Source organism: Homo sapiens, chromosome 4 (assembly GCF_000001405.40).
Source record: "Homo sapiens chromosome 4, GRCh38.p14 Primary Assembly".
NCBI classification, from domain to species: Eukaryota; Metazoa; Chordata; class Mammalia; order Primates; family Hominidae; genus Homo; species Homo sapiens.
In genome coordinates this window covers 79,489,617-79,502,820 of record NC_000004.12, presented here as the reverse complement: position 1 = coordinate 79,502,820, position 13,204 = coordinate 79,489,617, and the positions used below count along the sequence as shown (strand labels likewise).

Sequence of the window (13,204 nt, the reverse complement as noted above, 5' to 3'; positions counted from 1 at the left end):
GTCTTGATTACTGTAGCCATATAAGTCTTGAAATCAAGTAGACTGCTTTCTCCCATTTTATTCTACTTTTTCTAAATTGTTATGGCTACTCTAGTTTCTTCATTTTTCATATAAATTTTGAAATAATCTTACCTATATCTATAAAAGTATTGTTATGTTTTGATAGAAATAGCATTAAATCTGCATATCAATTGGAGGAGATATGAAATTTTTAGCATACAAGTCTTTCATATCTTTGGTTAGAGTTACACCAAAATATTTCATTTTTTGAGCAATTGTAAAGAAAACTGTATTTTTAATTTTACTGTACTGACGTCTATTGCAAACAGAAATTTGATTTTTGTAAGTTAACTTAGTATTCTACAATCTTGCTTAACTCATTTATTAATTCTAGAAATTTTTTGTACATTACTTTGTATTTTCTACATAGACCATGCTATCTGCAAATAAGCACAGTTTTATTTATTTCTTTCTAATCTGTATGACTCCTTCTCCTTTTGTTTCCTTCCTGCAGTGGTTAAAACTTTCCATACTATGCTGAATAAGAGTGGTGGCAGCAGATAAGTCCCACTTATTAATAGACTTGGGGAAAGCATTCAGTCTTTTACTATAAAGTGTAATTTTAGCTGCAGTTTTTTTGCTTCACATATTTTGCAGCTCCATTGTTTGGTTTATATACATTTAAAATTGCTACACCTTCTTGATAAGTTGATCCTCTTTATCATTATGCAATCTCCCTTTCTGTGTCTGGTAATTTTCTTTGCAGCTATGTCCATTTTATCTTATAATAAATAGAAATATTCCTGCCTTATTTTGATTAAGGTTTGCATGATGTATTAGTCTGTTCTCTCATTGCTATAAATACCTGAAACTGGGTAATTTATTTAAAAAAGAGGTTTAATTGCCTCACAGTTCTGCAGGCTGTGCAGGAGGCATAGTGGTTTCTGGGGAAGCCTCAGGAAACCTTTACTCATGGCAGAAGGCAAAGTGGGAGCAGGCATCTTTACAGGGGGCCAGGACAGGGAGAAGAGCGAGAAGGGGAGGCTACATACTTTTCAATCACCAGATCTCTTGGTAACTCCCTCTTGCCACGTCAACACCAAGGGGGATGATGCTAAACCATCAGAAGGTGCCCCCATGATCCAATCACCACCCACCAGGCCCCACCTCCAAAACTGTGGATTACAGTTGAACACGAAATTTGAGTGGGGATACAGAGCCAAACCATATTACATGATACAGATTTTTTCCATTACTTCACTTTCAACTTATCTATCCTGTTATGTTTGCAGTGAGTTTCATGTAGGCAGCATATTGTTGATTCGTATTTTTAATTCACTCTGCCAATCTCTACCTTTTAATTGTTATATTGAGACTATTTCTATTTAAAGTAATTATTTATATGTTAAGGCTTAAGTCTGGCATCTTATTTTTCATTCTGTTGTTCTTTCTGTTTCTTTTAAAATGTTACTCTCTTCTTTTTCTTGCCTTTTTGAGGGTAAACTGGAAGTTTTTTAAAACTCTATTTTTATTTTATCTATATGCCACTTGAATGAATCTCTTTGTATAGCTTTTTTACTGTTTTCTCCAGGTAGTATATATATGCTATATATATATTATATGTATATATTGTATAAATATTCTATAGATAGATGATTGATTGATCGATTGATCGATTGATTGATTTCTCTAGTCATACTTTTACCACAAGCCTAGTGGTCACACACTCGTAGTTTTCCTTTACCTGAATATGTTTTCATTTCTCTTCAGTTTCTGGCAGATATTTTCACAGAATATAGAATTTTCTTTTCTTTTCTTTCAGCACACAAACATGGAAATGTTGTGCCACTTCCTCTGTCACAGGTTCTGAAGCGAACACCATTGTAATGTCAGTTTTTTAGTTTTTTTCCCCTATAAGGTGACATTTTGATCTTGATGCTTTCAAGATTTTTAGTTCTTGTCTTAAGTTTTTAACTATTTGTTTATGATATGCCTTGATAGGAGTTATTCAGAGATTTATCCTGTTTAAGTTACACTCAGCCTCTTAATCTTTAAGTACATATCTTTACCCAAAATATGGAAAATTTTCAGCTGTTATTTTTGAATACTTGTTCCATTCCACCCACTTTTTTCTCCCCTTCTAGGACTCTGATTACATAAATTTTAGATGTCTTGTTATAATTCCACAGAACTCTGAGGCTCTTTTTATTTTGTTTAGCTTCTTTTCTCTGTGATTCACATCAGGTCATTTCTGTTGTTCTAATGTTCTTTCCTCAAGTACAATGAGTCTTTCCTCTGATCCTTTTATTCTGTTATTGAGTCCACTTATGTTTTTATTTGGGTTATTGTATTTTTCAACACTAAATTTTTTACCTAGTTCTTCTTTATATCTTCTATTTCCTTATTGAGAATTTCCATTTATTTTATTTGCTTCAAGTGTGTTCATAATTCCTTGTTAAAGATTTTTTTTTATTGTGACTGCTTCAAAATTTTTGCTAGATAATTGTGAGATCTCTAGCATTTGGTTTTGGAGTCTATTAATTTTTTATTACATTTAAGTTGAGATTTTTCTGGTTCTTGGTATGATTCACAATTTTGTAATGAAACTTGGACATTTTAGATATATGTTATGAGACTGTATATTTTATTTAGACTTTCTGTTTTAGCTGGCTTTCTCTGATGCCACTCCAGCAAGAGAAGAGGCGAAGGGGATTGCCTCATTACTTCCAGATGGGGTTAGAAGTCCAGGTTCCTCACTCAGCCTTCACTGGCACACAAGGAATGGTGGAGCCCTTTTGGCCGTTGGGTGGTGGTGGGAGTTTGACATCCTACTAAGCCTTCACTGTTACTTCTCTGGCTGGGAGAGGTAGGAGAGCCTCACTACTGTTCCCCAGATGGCCAGACATGGGAGTGATAGTGAGATTGCCTTCTTACTGCCGGGCAGTAGAGAAAGTCAGTGGGGGAATGAGCATCTCATTGCTGTTAAATTAGAGCAAAATTATAGGCTTCCTACTCAGCCTTCTCTTATACCACCCCAGCAAGAAAATTGGGGTAACTTGTTTTATCTTGGCAAAAATGACCGTGTAGGGTCCCCATGTGATCTTTGCTAGTATGGGTGGAGTGGGGCCACAGATTTTTCTATGGTGTTTAGCTGAAGTACAGTAGCTTTTCTCTCAAACACTTTTGTTATCCTGCTAAGCACCTTTTCAGGATTAACTAAAGAGAGAAGGCTTTTGTTGGAGCTGGGTGTTTTTTCTTTGTTGTTTTTGTTGTTGTTGTTGTTGTTTGTCTTGTACCATTTGTGTTTCTTGATTGCTGTTTACTTCAGGTCCAAGTCTAGGATATACGAGGCAATAAATACCTACCTACATACATACATTCACATGAAACTTACCACCATGTACTTCCTTGGGACTCAAAGTCCCTAACTGCTCTGCCTTCCTTTCTCCACATTTCAAAGTCTTCTATTTGTTTTGCAAATAATTTCCAGGGTTTTTGTTTATTTAGTGAGAGGAATAGGAAAAATTAAATCTATTATATTGGAGGCTATTTTTAAAAAGCAAGTACTGAACACCTTTTTTTCTTGTCGGTTTTAAGTTACTAAAGGAGTATGAATCCCTTTACCAAATTGTTTTGATGGTAAAATCTAAAAATCATTTTGGTCATGATACATTAATCAAAATAGATGCAAATGCAATAATTGCAAGTGAGAAATTCACATTAATTTATTTATATCAATAATGTATTCATATTATTTTGTCTTGAAATGGCGATAATTTTAGTAATATTTTAATATTTGATATTTAACCTGAAAATTAGAAATAAAAATAAGTCCGACCAAGTTGCCACAAATAAAGCAAAACAGAAAATTATCCCTTTACCTGGGGCTAAAACTTTTCTTCCTCCTAATATTTTCTAAATTTCTTATATCATTTGTAATATATTCCTAACTTAAGCAAAATAACACACTTTAGAATTTCAAGAGCCTAGCAATATAGATGAGGCAAAGAGACATTTTCTCAATCAACTTAGTGTTTGGATAAATCCTAATACTCTGAAAACCTAGTGTTAAAGTGAAACTGCACTGTCCGTTAAATTTCATGGAAGATGATATGAAGAAAAAAACAATAATTTGTGTTATTTGTCACAGATATGAAATAATTATGAGATTTTACAATCTTGTAAAATATGCTCCTACAAACTGCATAACTTCTAAAAAGAATGTATAATTTCACAATATCTTAACAAGTATTATGTCAAAGTCCTCCTAAAAACAAACACAGATGTCTAAAGTGATTTCAACAGCAGAGGCCAAATACCCTACAATTGGTAGGCTAGTTTAAGTATCTTCTCAAGGATTTTTCCATTTAGCTTAACTTCTGAAGGACACGAAAGTTCAAATAAAAGGGAAGAATGAAAACAATTATGCCAAGATACACTGTGTTACTACAGAGAAAAGAGAGCCAGGATCAGTTTAAAGAGGTACCTGTATTTGATATAGTTTGTGTAAATAAAACTAACTTACTGCTATAGCCTGAACCTTTGTGCCCTTTCCATCCCAAAATTCATATGCTGAAACCTAATCCCCAATGTGATAACTTTAAGAAGTTAGAGCCTTCTAGAGGTGACTGGGGCATGAAAGCAGAACTCTTGTGAATGGGATTAGTGTAAGCTAGTTTGCTCCTTTCATCCTGTGAGGACACAGTGAGAAGTTGGTAGTCTGCAACCTGGAAGAGGGCCCTCACCAGAACTTGACCACGTTGGCACCCTCATATTGCACTTCCTACCCTCCAGAAGTGTAAGAAATAAATTTCTGTTGTTTATAAGCCATATAGTTTATGATATTTTGTATAGCAACCTGAATGTACTAAAACACTTATATCATGACTATATAAGTAGTTTTCCAATACATGAAGCAATGTAAGCATCATCTTATCCTCTTCTAACTCTATTGTCTTACATAAATACAGATGTTTAGCATTTTTCACTTCATTTCCTCTATATATTTCTTGCCTCAGCTTAATGGAAGAGGCAATGTGCTATAAGGAAGCCATGCAGTAAAAGTTCAGTGTTTCGAGAGGTTTACCTCCTGCTTCTGTGCAGATTATTTTATCATTAGCAAGCCAAATAAGCCATTCTCTTTTGTTAGATAAAATGGGATTGATAATAATAATTAATGATAAAAATAATAACAAAAACAACTGCTACCAAAACAATGGTCTGCCTGCCTTAAAAGCATTAGCTTCTCAAATTCTAGAGCATACCACAGGTTGTTCTTTTTATGGTACATGCTTATAAAACAATCATCTTGATTCTTAAAAATGAAACCAGTCTCATCCATATCATTGTCACTGATACAAGTGCATTTTATTTGCACTTATGTAGCATGAAATAGTGCATGAAAGCCTTTTATGGTGATAAAATAACTTCTTAACTAGGGTGAAAAAGGAAAACTGTTAACTTGGGTTCACAGGACTAATGCTCACATATAATTGTATCTATAAATGTCCTAGATGCTATGATCCCTCCCATATGTGTAATCCTCCTGTTGATGTCAATCCAAAATACTATGCTCATGTTACGGTATCTCCTCTACATCCTTATTGTAAATTCACATTCTGAGTTAGAGCAGCTGAACATCTAGTCCTCAAACAGCTGACTCCAATTTTTCCTTCCCTGTCCATTCCTACCCTCACTGTCATAAGATGGGCACATTCTTTGCTCCCAAGAAAGATGCTTGTCCCTTGTTTTGTAAAACACAAAACAAATAAAGAAACAAAAGAAACTAAATAACACCTCCTTGAAGATAAGATATACTACAGAAATGTTGTTACATTGAACTAAATTGCATTCCACAGAAGATAGAAGAGGGTATCATGAATGTATCAAAACAACTAAGTTAAACATAAAATAAACTACAAATCTTTTTCATGCCTGAATCTATCTCCTTTTTTTCACTTTTCTCTCCTCACCAAAATACTGAATGGGAATGAAACAATTCAGATATCTAGATTTATAAATCTATAAAATTTTAAATTTTCTATCAGTACAAATAAATTAAAGCAAAGCAAATAATCGGCAGAATTTTTGAACATGTACTCTAGAAGTGTTTTGTTATTTCTATATCTGTACATTTTATAATTTATTGAGTTTCAATATTTTATTGAAAAATATATCATGATTCAATCCAGCAAAGTTGTAGACGGTGGCATGCCTCCAACATAGGACTAACTGATTAGTTTAAGCACATCAGAGACTGTATCTTCAGTTGTCCCTCAGTATCTGTGAGGGATTGTCCCAGGACATCTGTCCTACCCTGCGCTGCCCCTGCAGATTACAAAAACCAGTGATGCTTAAGTACCTTATATAAAATGGCATTGTATTTGCATATAACCAACTCACATTGTCCCCTATAATTTAAATTATCTCCAGGTTATTCATAAAATGTAATACAATGTAAATGCTATGTGAATAGTTGCTATACTGTATCATTTTTTGTTTTGTGTTAGTTTTACTGGTGTACTTTTTTTTCTGACATTTTCAAAGGCATGATTGATGGAAAACATGGATACAAAACCCATGGATATGAAGGACTGACTATAGACTTACAATGCTTGAGTATACTATAAACATAATAATGCTTCAGTTTAGAATGTTGATTTTAGCATCTATTTCCTAAGATGAGAAGAAAAAAATGTATCTTCCTTTGCTCTGAGTGGTTTCATCTTTTCTTTGACATTTTGATAGCAAAAAAGATTTTTAACTCAATTTAATAGTTGTAGGAATATGTCTACTAATAATTGTACTGATTTCTCCAGAACAAAATGAACTGTATATCCAACTCTCTTCAAACTGTCATGCTTATCTCAGTGTGTATGTGTCACTATAAGATGAGAAAGCCTGTCAACACCAACTTCTTCCTTCTAAACAAGAACACTAGGATGTTCATTTCTCATTGAAAATTTGGATTTCTGAGCTGTCTCCTTCCCTTAACTCCTACCCTCCAACACAGAACATGCCTGACATCAGACCCTTACTCCTGAGCCTTTTCCCACTTCATTCACCTGACAGCCTCCTCCACAACAGACATCTTATCAGACGTGACTGATTGCTATAATCTGTACTCTGGGCAGCCATTAAGCAAATTACCTGAATCATTGCAAGGATTAGTCTCATTAACACATGATTAGCATCAAATTAAAATAATGAGTGTTTAACTTCTGATGTCTTCCAGTTGTTTGAACAGCTTGATCAGCCACACCAGGCTGGCAGGGAGGTGGGGGTGTCAAAGAGCCACAGAAAAAAAGGGAGGCAGCACTGTGCAAGACATAGTACAGCTCACCAGTAGAATGAGGTAAGATCAGACTCAAACTGTCTGGATGAAAGGTTTCTTTCAAACAGCAAAGATGCCCGGTCCAAACAGAGGTGTCTCTCTCTCTCTCTCTCTCTCTCTCTCTCTCTCTCTTTCTCTCTCATTGGCACTGTACTCCTAACCATCCATCTGAATCAAGGCTTTACATACTAATGGTGCACAATCTCGCCCGCTCCACATCCTGGATATTTTATTTCCGCTGGGCTTCCCTGTCTCAGGAGCACAGAATGCAGCTTTTCTCTTTCCTTTTCAAAACTTTATCAGACTTAAGACCCCTAAAGTGCTGGGAGTATGGTAGACTGAAGATTAGAGCACAGATCCTCCCGAGTTCCCATATTTGTAGCTGGAAATGGCTGACCAAATATCAAAACAACAGGAAGTTTGCATCAGCTCTGGAAACTGTGAAGAATATCATCCACATATAGAAAGTTAAAATAATCTGCTAGATCCTACATAGACTGGTCCCAACTTACGATGGTTTGACTTATGGTTTTTTGACTTTAAGATGGGTTTATCGGTGTATTAAATGCGTTTAGACTAATGATACTTTTGACCTATGATGGATTCATCCAGATGTTACCCCATTGTAAGTCAAGGAGCATCTGTGCCCATGTCGAAGATTTGATGGAAGCCTAAAGGACCAACTCACTTTTGTCCTACCTGTGGAACATCAGCACTTATGGAAAGTAGGCGGGTAGCTTACAGTGACCCTTCCACTCCAAAACTTAGGGCACCTTATCTGTCTGGTGATGGTCAAGACAATCAGAGAGCCTGGACGAGCTCTTTTTGCCTGAGCTAGTGAATAAAATAAACAGCTGTTGTGATAAATTTCTCTATCATTCCCTTGAAAAAGATTAATATGAGGAGTGTAATGTTATGGAAGAAACAATCTAAGATCAGGAAAAAAATGTGAAGATAAAAATCATTGCTAATATAAACACCCACAGTTAGGTATTTCAGGAGAGGAAAACAACAAATCATTTCCTCTACTCATCTTAGGTTCTCCAGCAGAGGCCCTGTGAATTAGACTAGCCAAAGACAGATTAATTAGAGACAAATAGGCAGAAGTTTTCTCAGTGGCCTTTAACAAAAAAAAATAAAAATAAAAAAAAATTGTATTCCAAAGAGGCTTATTTTGAAGTGATATATTCCAGTACCCCTCAGAATACATTTCTGTCGTATGAAATAATCCCATGAACCATAAAGGAACAAAAAAACAGAATGTCTGTAGATCAGACTTTATTTGCAATATTAAATGCTAAGAAAAACAAAGGTTTACAGAGCTTTGGGCAGAAAAGATTGAGATCCAAGGCATTTTAGTTAGAAAAGCTCATATTTATATGCTAGAGCGACAGAAAGTTGTTTTTAGATACACTAGACTGAGAGGCAATGTCATATAAAATTCTTTGTGAAAAAAACTATTTGACTAGTCACTTAAGTCAACTAAGAAATAAATATAAATAACTCAGCAAATAGAATTCTTAGCTCTATAGAGTGATTAGCTTTAAAATTTCAAATGTAGTACTTACAAGATAAAAATACAAAATATTAAGCTAATAATTAATAATAACCTGGATCTGAAATCTGAGATTATATCAGCAAAACAGTGTGAAGGAAAAATAGTAATGTGAAAATTATGCCAAATGTAGCATCTGAGCTGGAGGGATGTGAATGATAATAGTTACTGTTTTACTCTGTTCATAGATGATGAGAGAAAAATAGACCCAAGTAAGTTTTAAAATGCTTAAAATTTAGAAAATTGAACTTTCTGTGTATCTGTATTAGTCAGGGTTCTCTAGAGGGACAGGACTAATAGGATAGATATATATATAAAGCAGAGTTTATTAAGGAGTATTGACTTACACAATCACAAGGTGAAGTCCCACAATAGGCCATCTGTAAGCTGAGGAGCAAGGAAGCCAGTCCAAGTCCCAAAACTTCAAAAGTGCAGCCTTCCGTCTGTGGCCAAAGGTCCAAGAGTCCAAAAGCTAAAGAACTTGGAGTCTGATATTCGAGGTCAGGAAGCATCTAGCATGGGAGAAAGATGAAGGCCAGAAGACTCAGCCAGTCTAGTCTTTCCAAATTTCTCTGCCTGATTTTATCCTAGTTGCACTGGCAGCTGATTAGATGGTGTCCCCCAAGATTGAGTATGGGTTTGTGTCTCCCAGCTCACTGATTCAAATGTTCATCTCCTTTGGTGACACCCTCACAGACACACCCAGGAACAATACTTTGCATCCTTCAATCCAATCAAGTTGACACTCAATATTAACCATCACGGAATCCTTTCCAAATCCCTAAAAGAAAAAATAATAATAATATAGTCAATATAATAAACATCAGCTAGAAAAGAAATAGGTGAGCAAAATAGAGAATCTCTGACAAGATCAGAAAGAATAATATAATTAGTGTAAAACGTTTTAGTAGTTCAATTAAAAACTAAAGTTTCTCAAATTAAAACATTATTTTAAAATCTTTACTTAATAGAAAAAGACCAAAAGTCAAATGTCAGAGAAGTAGTAAGAAATTTTTTAAATGGCAGAAATATATCATAAATACAAAGAAAAATAAGGAAATAATAGCAATCATAATGTAGAATAAAATATAATTCGAGATAAAATTGGTGAAGAATCACACCAGGAACATATCAGAAAAACCAAAAGAATTCACAGACCATTTGAAATAAGCGGCTTGCCACTGAAAACTCCATGAGACTGCCAAAAAACTGAGTGCCTGAAGTGTGAGAGGGGGAAATCCATCTCCAAACATACATCGGCCCTGGAGAACCTGAAAATCCAGAAGACGGGAGAAGAGTTTAACCTTACCTAGAGCTGAAATGAATTTAGAGAGCCCAGTGAAATAGAAAAGTAAAAGAAGTGGGAAAAGAACTGCAGGCACTCTTGTTCCCCAGGGAAGCCAAGGATAGCCATTTCTGAATTTATCTCACAGGGGTCCTTGAGGAGGGCAGCCAGTGGAATTGGGGAAGGTCCACAGGGAGAAGGAGACTTCCAGCTGAACTTTGTAATAATTTCCAAAGACGACAAATTTTCCTGGGCAGAGTCCAGGGGGTTGGGGTGTGGGGAACGGGAAGTACAGATAGGAGCACAGAAGCCGCAACAGGAAGGGAAGGGTGAGGACTGAAAGCCATGCTTGCTCTCTCAGCAGGGAGTCTTGTAGCCTGGGGCAGGATCTCAGCCCTGTGCACCAGAGGCCTGGGTATAAATTGGGCACTGTTGGCTGCTGGGGGAGTATGGCAGGAATGAGACTGGCCTTGCTGGTTTCATGGGAGCTGGGTAAGGCCTGTCACTGATGGCTTTCCACCACTTACCTGGCAACCTGTAGGAAGCAGCAGAGGCAGCCATAATCTCCCATGGAACATAACTCCATTGGCCTGAGACACACCCCATATCCCTCAAAGTGGCCACTGCAAGCCCAAGGAGAGTCTAGGCTGAGACCTGCCTAACCCTGCCCCCACCTGATGGTTTTCTCTACCCTTCCTGGTAACCAGAGACAAAAGATATAAACTTGTGGGAGCTCTATGGCCTCACCTATTACCTGAGACGACTGAATATTTACCCTGGCCAACTTAGGGCAAGCCTGTATCCCCCTTCTACTACCGCAGCTGATGCTCTCTTAAAAGTGCCACCTCCTGGCTGGAAGTCAACCAACTCAAGCCATTACAGCAACTTAGAACAATCCTACTCCAAGAAAGGAGAAAACACCACCTGTAACACCCTGGCTAACCAGAGGTCCTGAGTCTGTCCACATGACAGCTTCACTGCTAGCAAACCAGCATTCGAGAAAATCTGCACACTAAACAAACTACAACCAGCACTCTCACAGAGTCCACTTTGCTTCCCTGCTACCTCCACTGGGGCAGGTACTGGCATCCACAGCTGAGAGACCTGAAGACAGGTCTTCACAGGATCACATCACAGAAATCTTTGCAGACACTCCCCAATACCAGCCCAGAGCCCAGTAGCTCCACTGGGGGACTAGACACAGAAGAACAATAACAATCACTGCAGTTTTATTCTCAGGAAGCTCCATTTCTAGGGGAAGAAAAAGAACACCACATCAAGGGATCACCCCATAGGAAAAAAAAATCAGATTAGCAGCCCTTGAGTCCCAGATCTTTCCTCTGAAATAGTCTACCCAAATGAGAAGGAACCAGAAAAACAATTCTGATGATATGACAAAGCAAGATTCATTGACACCCCAAATGATCACACAAGCTCACCAGCAATAAAAAACAAACAAAAACAAACAAACAAAAAAAAAAACAAGGTAGTCAGGCAACAACTAGCAGGATGAATAGAACAGTACCTCACATCTCAATAATAACATCGAATGTAAAAGGCCTAAATGCTCCACTTAAAAGATACAAAATGACAGAATGGATAAGAATTCACCAGTCAAGTATCTGCGTCTTCAAGAGACTCACCTAACACATACAGACCCATATAAATGTAAGGTAAATGGATGGAAAAAGATATTCCATGCAAATGGACACCAAAAACAAGCAGAAGTAGCTATTCGTTTATCAGACAAAACCAACTTTAAAGCAACAACAATTTAAAAAGACAAAGAGGGACATTATAGAATAATAAAAGGACTAGTCCAACAGGAAAATATTACAATCCTCAATACATATGCACCTAAAACTGGAGCTTTAAATTTACAAAACAATTACTCCTAGAATTAAGAAATGAGATAAGAGGCAACACAATAATAGTGGGTGACTTCAATACTCCACTGACAGCACTAGACAGGTCATCAAAAACAAGTCAGACAATGGACTTAAACTATGCCCTAGAACAAATGGACTTAGCAGATATATTCAGAACATTCTACCAAACAACTGCAGAATATATGTTCTATTCATCAGCACATGGAACATTCTCCAAGGTAGATCATATGATAGGCACAAAACAAGCCTCAATAAATTTAAGAAAATCAAAATTATATTAATATGCTCTCAGACCACAGTGGAATAAAATTAAAAATCAACTCCAAAAGGAATCCTCAAACCATGCAAATACATTGAAATAAAATAATCTGCTCCTGAATTATATTTTGGTAAACAATGAAATTATAATGGAAATTTCAAAATTACTTGAACTGAATGATAGCAATAACACAACCTATGAAAACTTCTGTGATACAGCAAAAGCGATGTTAAAAGGAAGGTTCATAGCATTAAATGCCTACATCAAAAAGTCTGAAAGAACACATATAGATAGTCTAAGGTCACACTTCAAGGAACCAGAGAAATAAGATCAAACCAAACCCAAACCCAGCAGAAAAAAAAAAAAAAAAAAGAAATAACAAAGATCAGAGCAGAACTAAATGAAATTGAAACAAAAAAATACAAAAGATAAATAAAACAAAAAGCTGATTCTTTGAAAATATAAACAAAATTGATAGACCATTAGCAAGAATAACCAAGAAAAAATGGGAGGAGATCCAAATAAGCTCAACCAGAAACATAACGGGATATATTAAATCCAATAACACAGAAATACAAAAGATCATTCAAGTCTTCTATGAATACCTTTACACACACAAACTAGAAAACCTAGAGGAGATGGATAAATTCCTGGAAATATGCAAACCTCCAAGATTAAACCAGGAAGAAATACTCTGAACAGACAAACAACAAGCAGCAAGATTAAAATGGTTACAAAAAAACATTGCCAACAACAAAAAAAAAAGTCCAGGAACAGATGGAATCACAGCTGATTTCCATCAGACATTTAAAGAAGAATTGGTACAAATCCTATTGAAACTATTCCAAAAGCCAGAGAAAGAGGAAAGCCTCCCTGAATCATT

At 36.1% G+C, this 13,204-nt stretch overlaps 1 long non-coding RNA gene across 1 annotated transcript in view; it reads right to left on the bottom strand.

Annotated features, from left to right (window-relative positions):
- Positions 1-10,228, bottom strand: part of LINC00989 (long intergenic non-protein coding RNA 989) — an 83,868-nt gene extending 73,640 nt beyond the window's left edge. The window contains exons 1-2 of the long non-coding RNA NR_038826.1: positions 10,047-10,228; positions 9,236-9,669 (exon numbers count right to left, since the gene is read on the bottom strand). This is a non-coding gene — a long non-coding RNA (long intergenic non-protein coding RNA 989). The remainder of the gene's footprint in view (positions 1-9,235; positions 9,670-10,046) is intronic.
- Between the last annotated feature and the right edge of the window lie 2,976 nt (positions 10,229-13,204).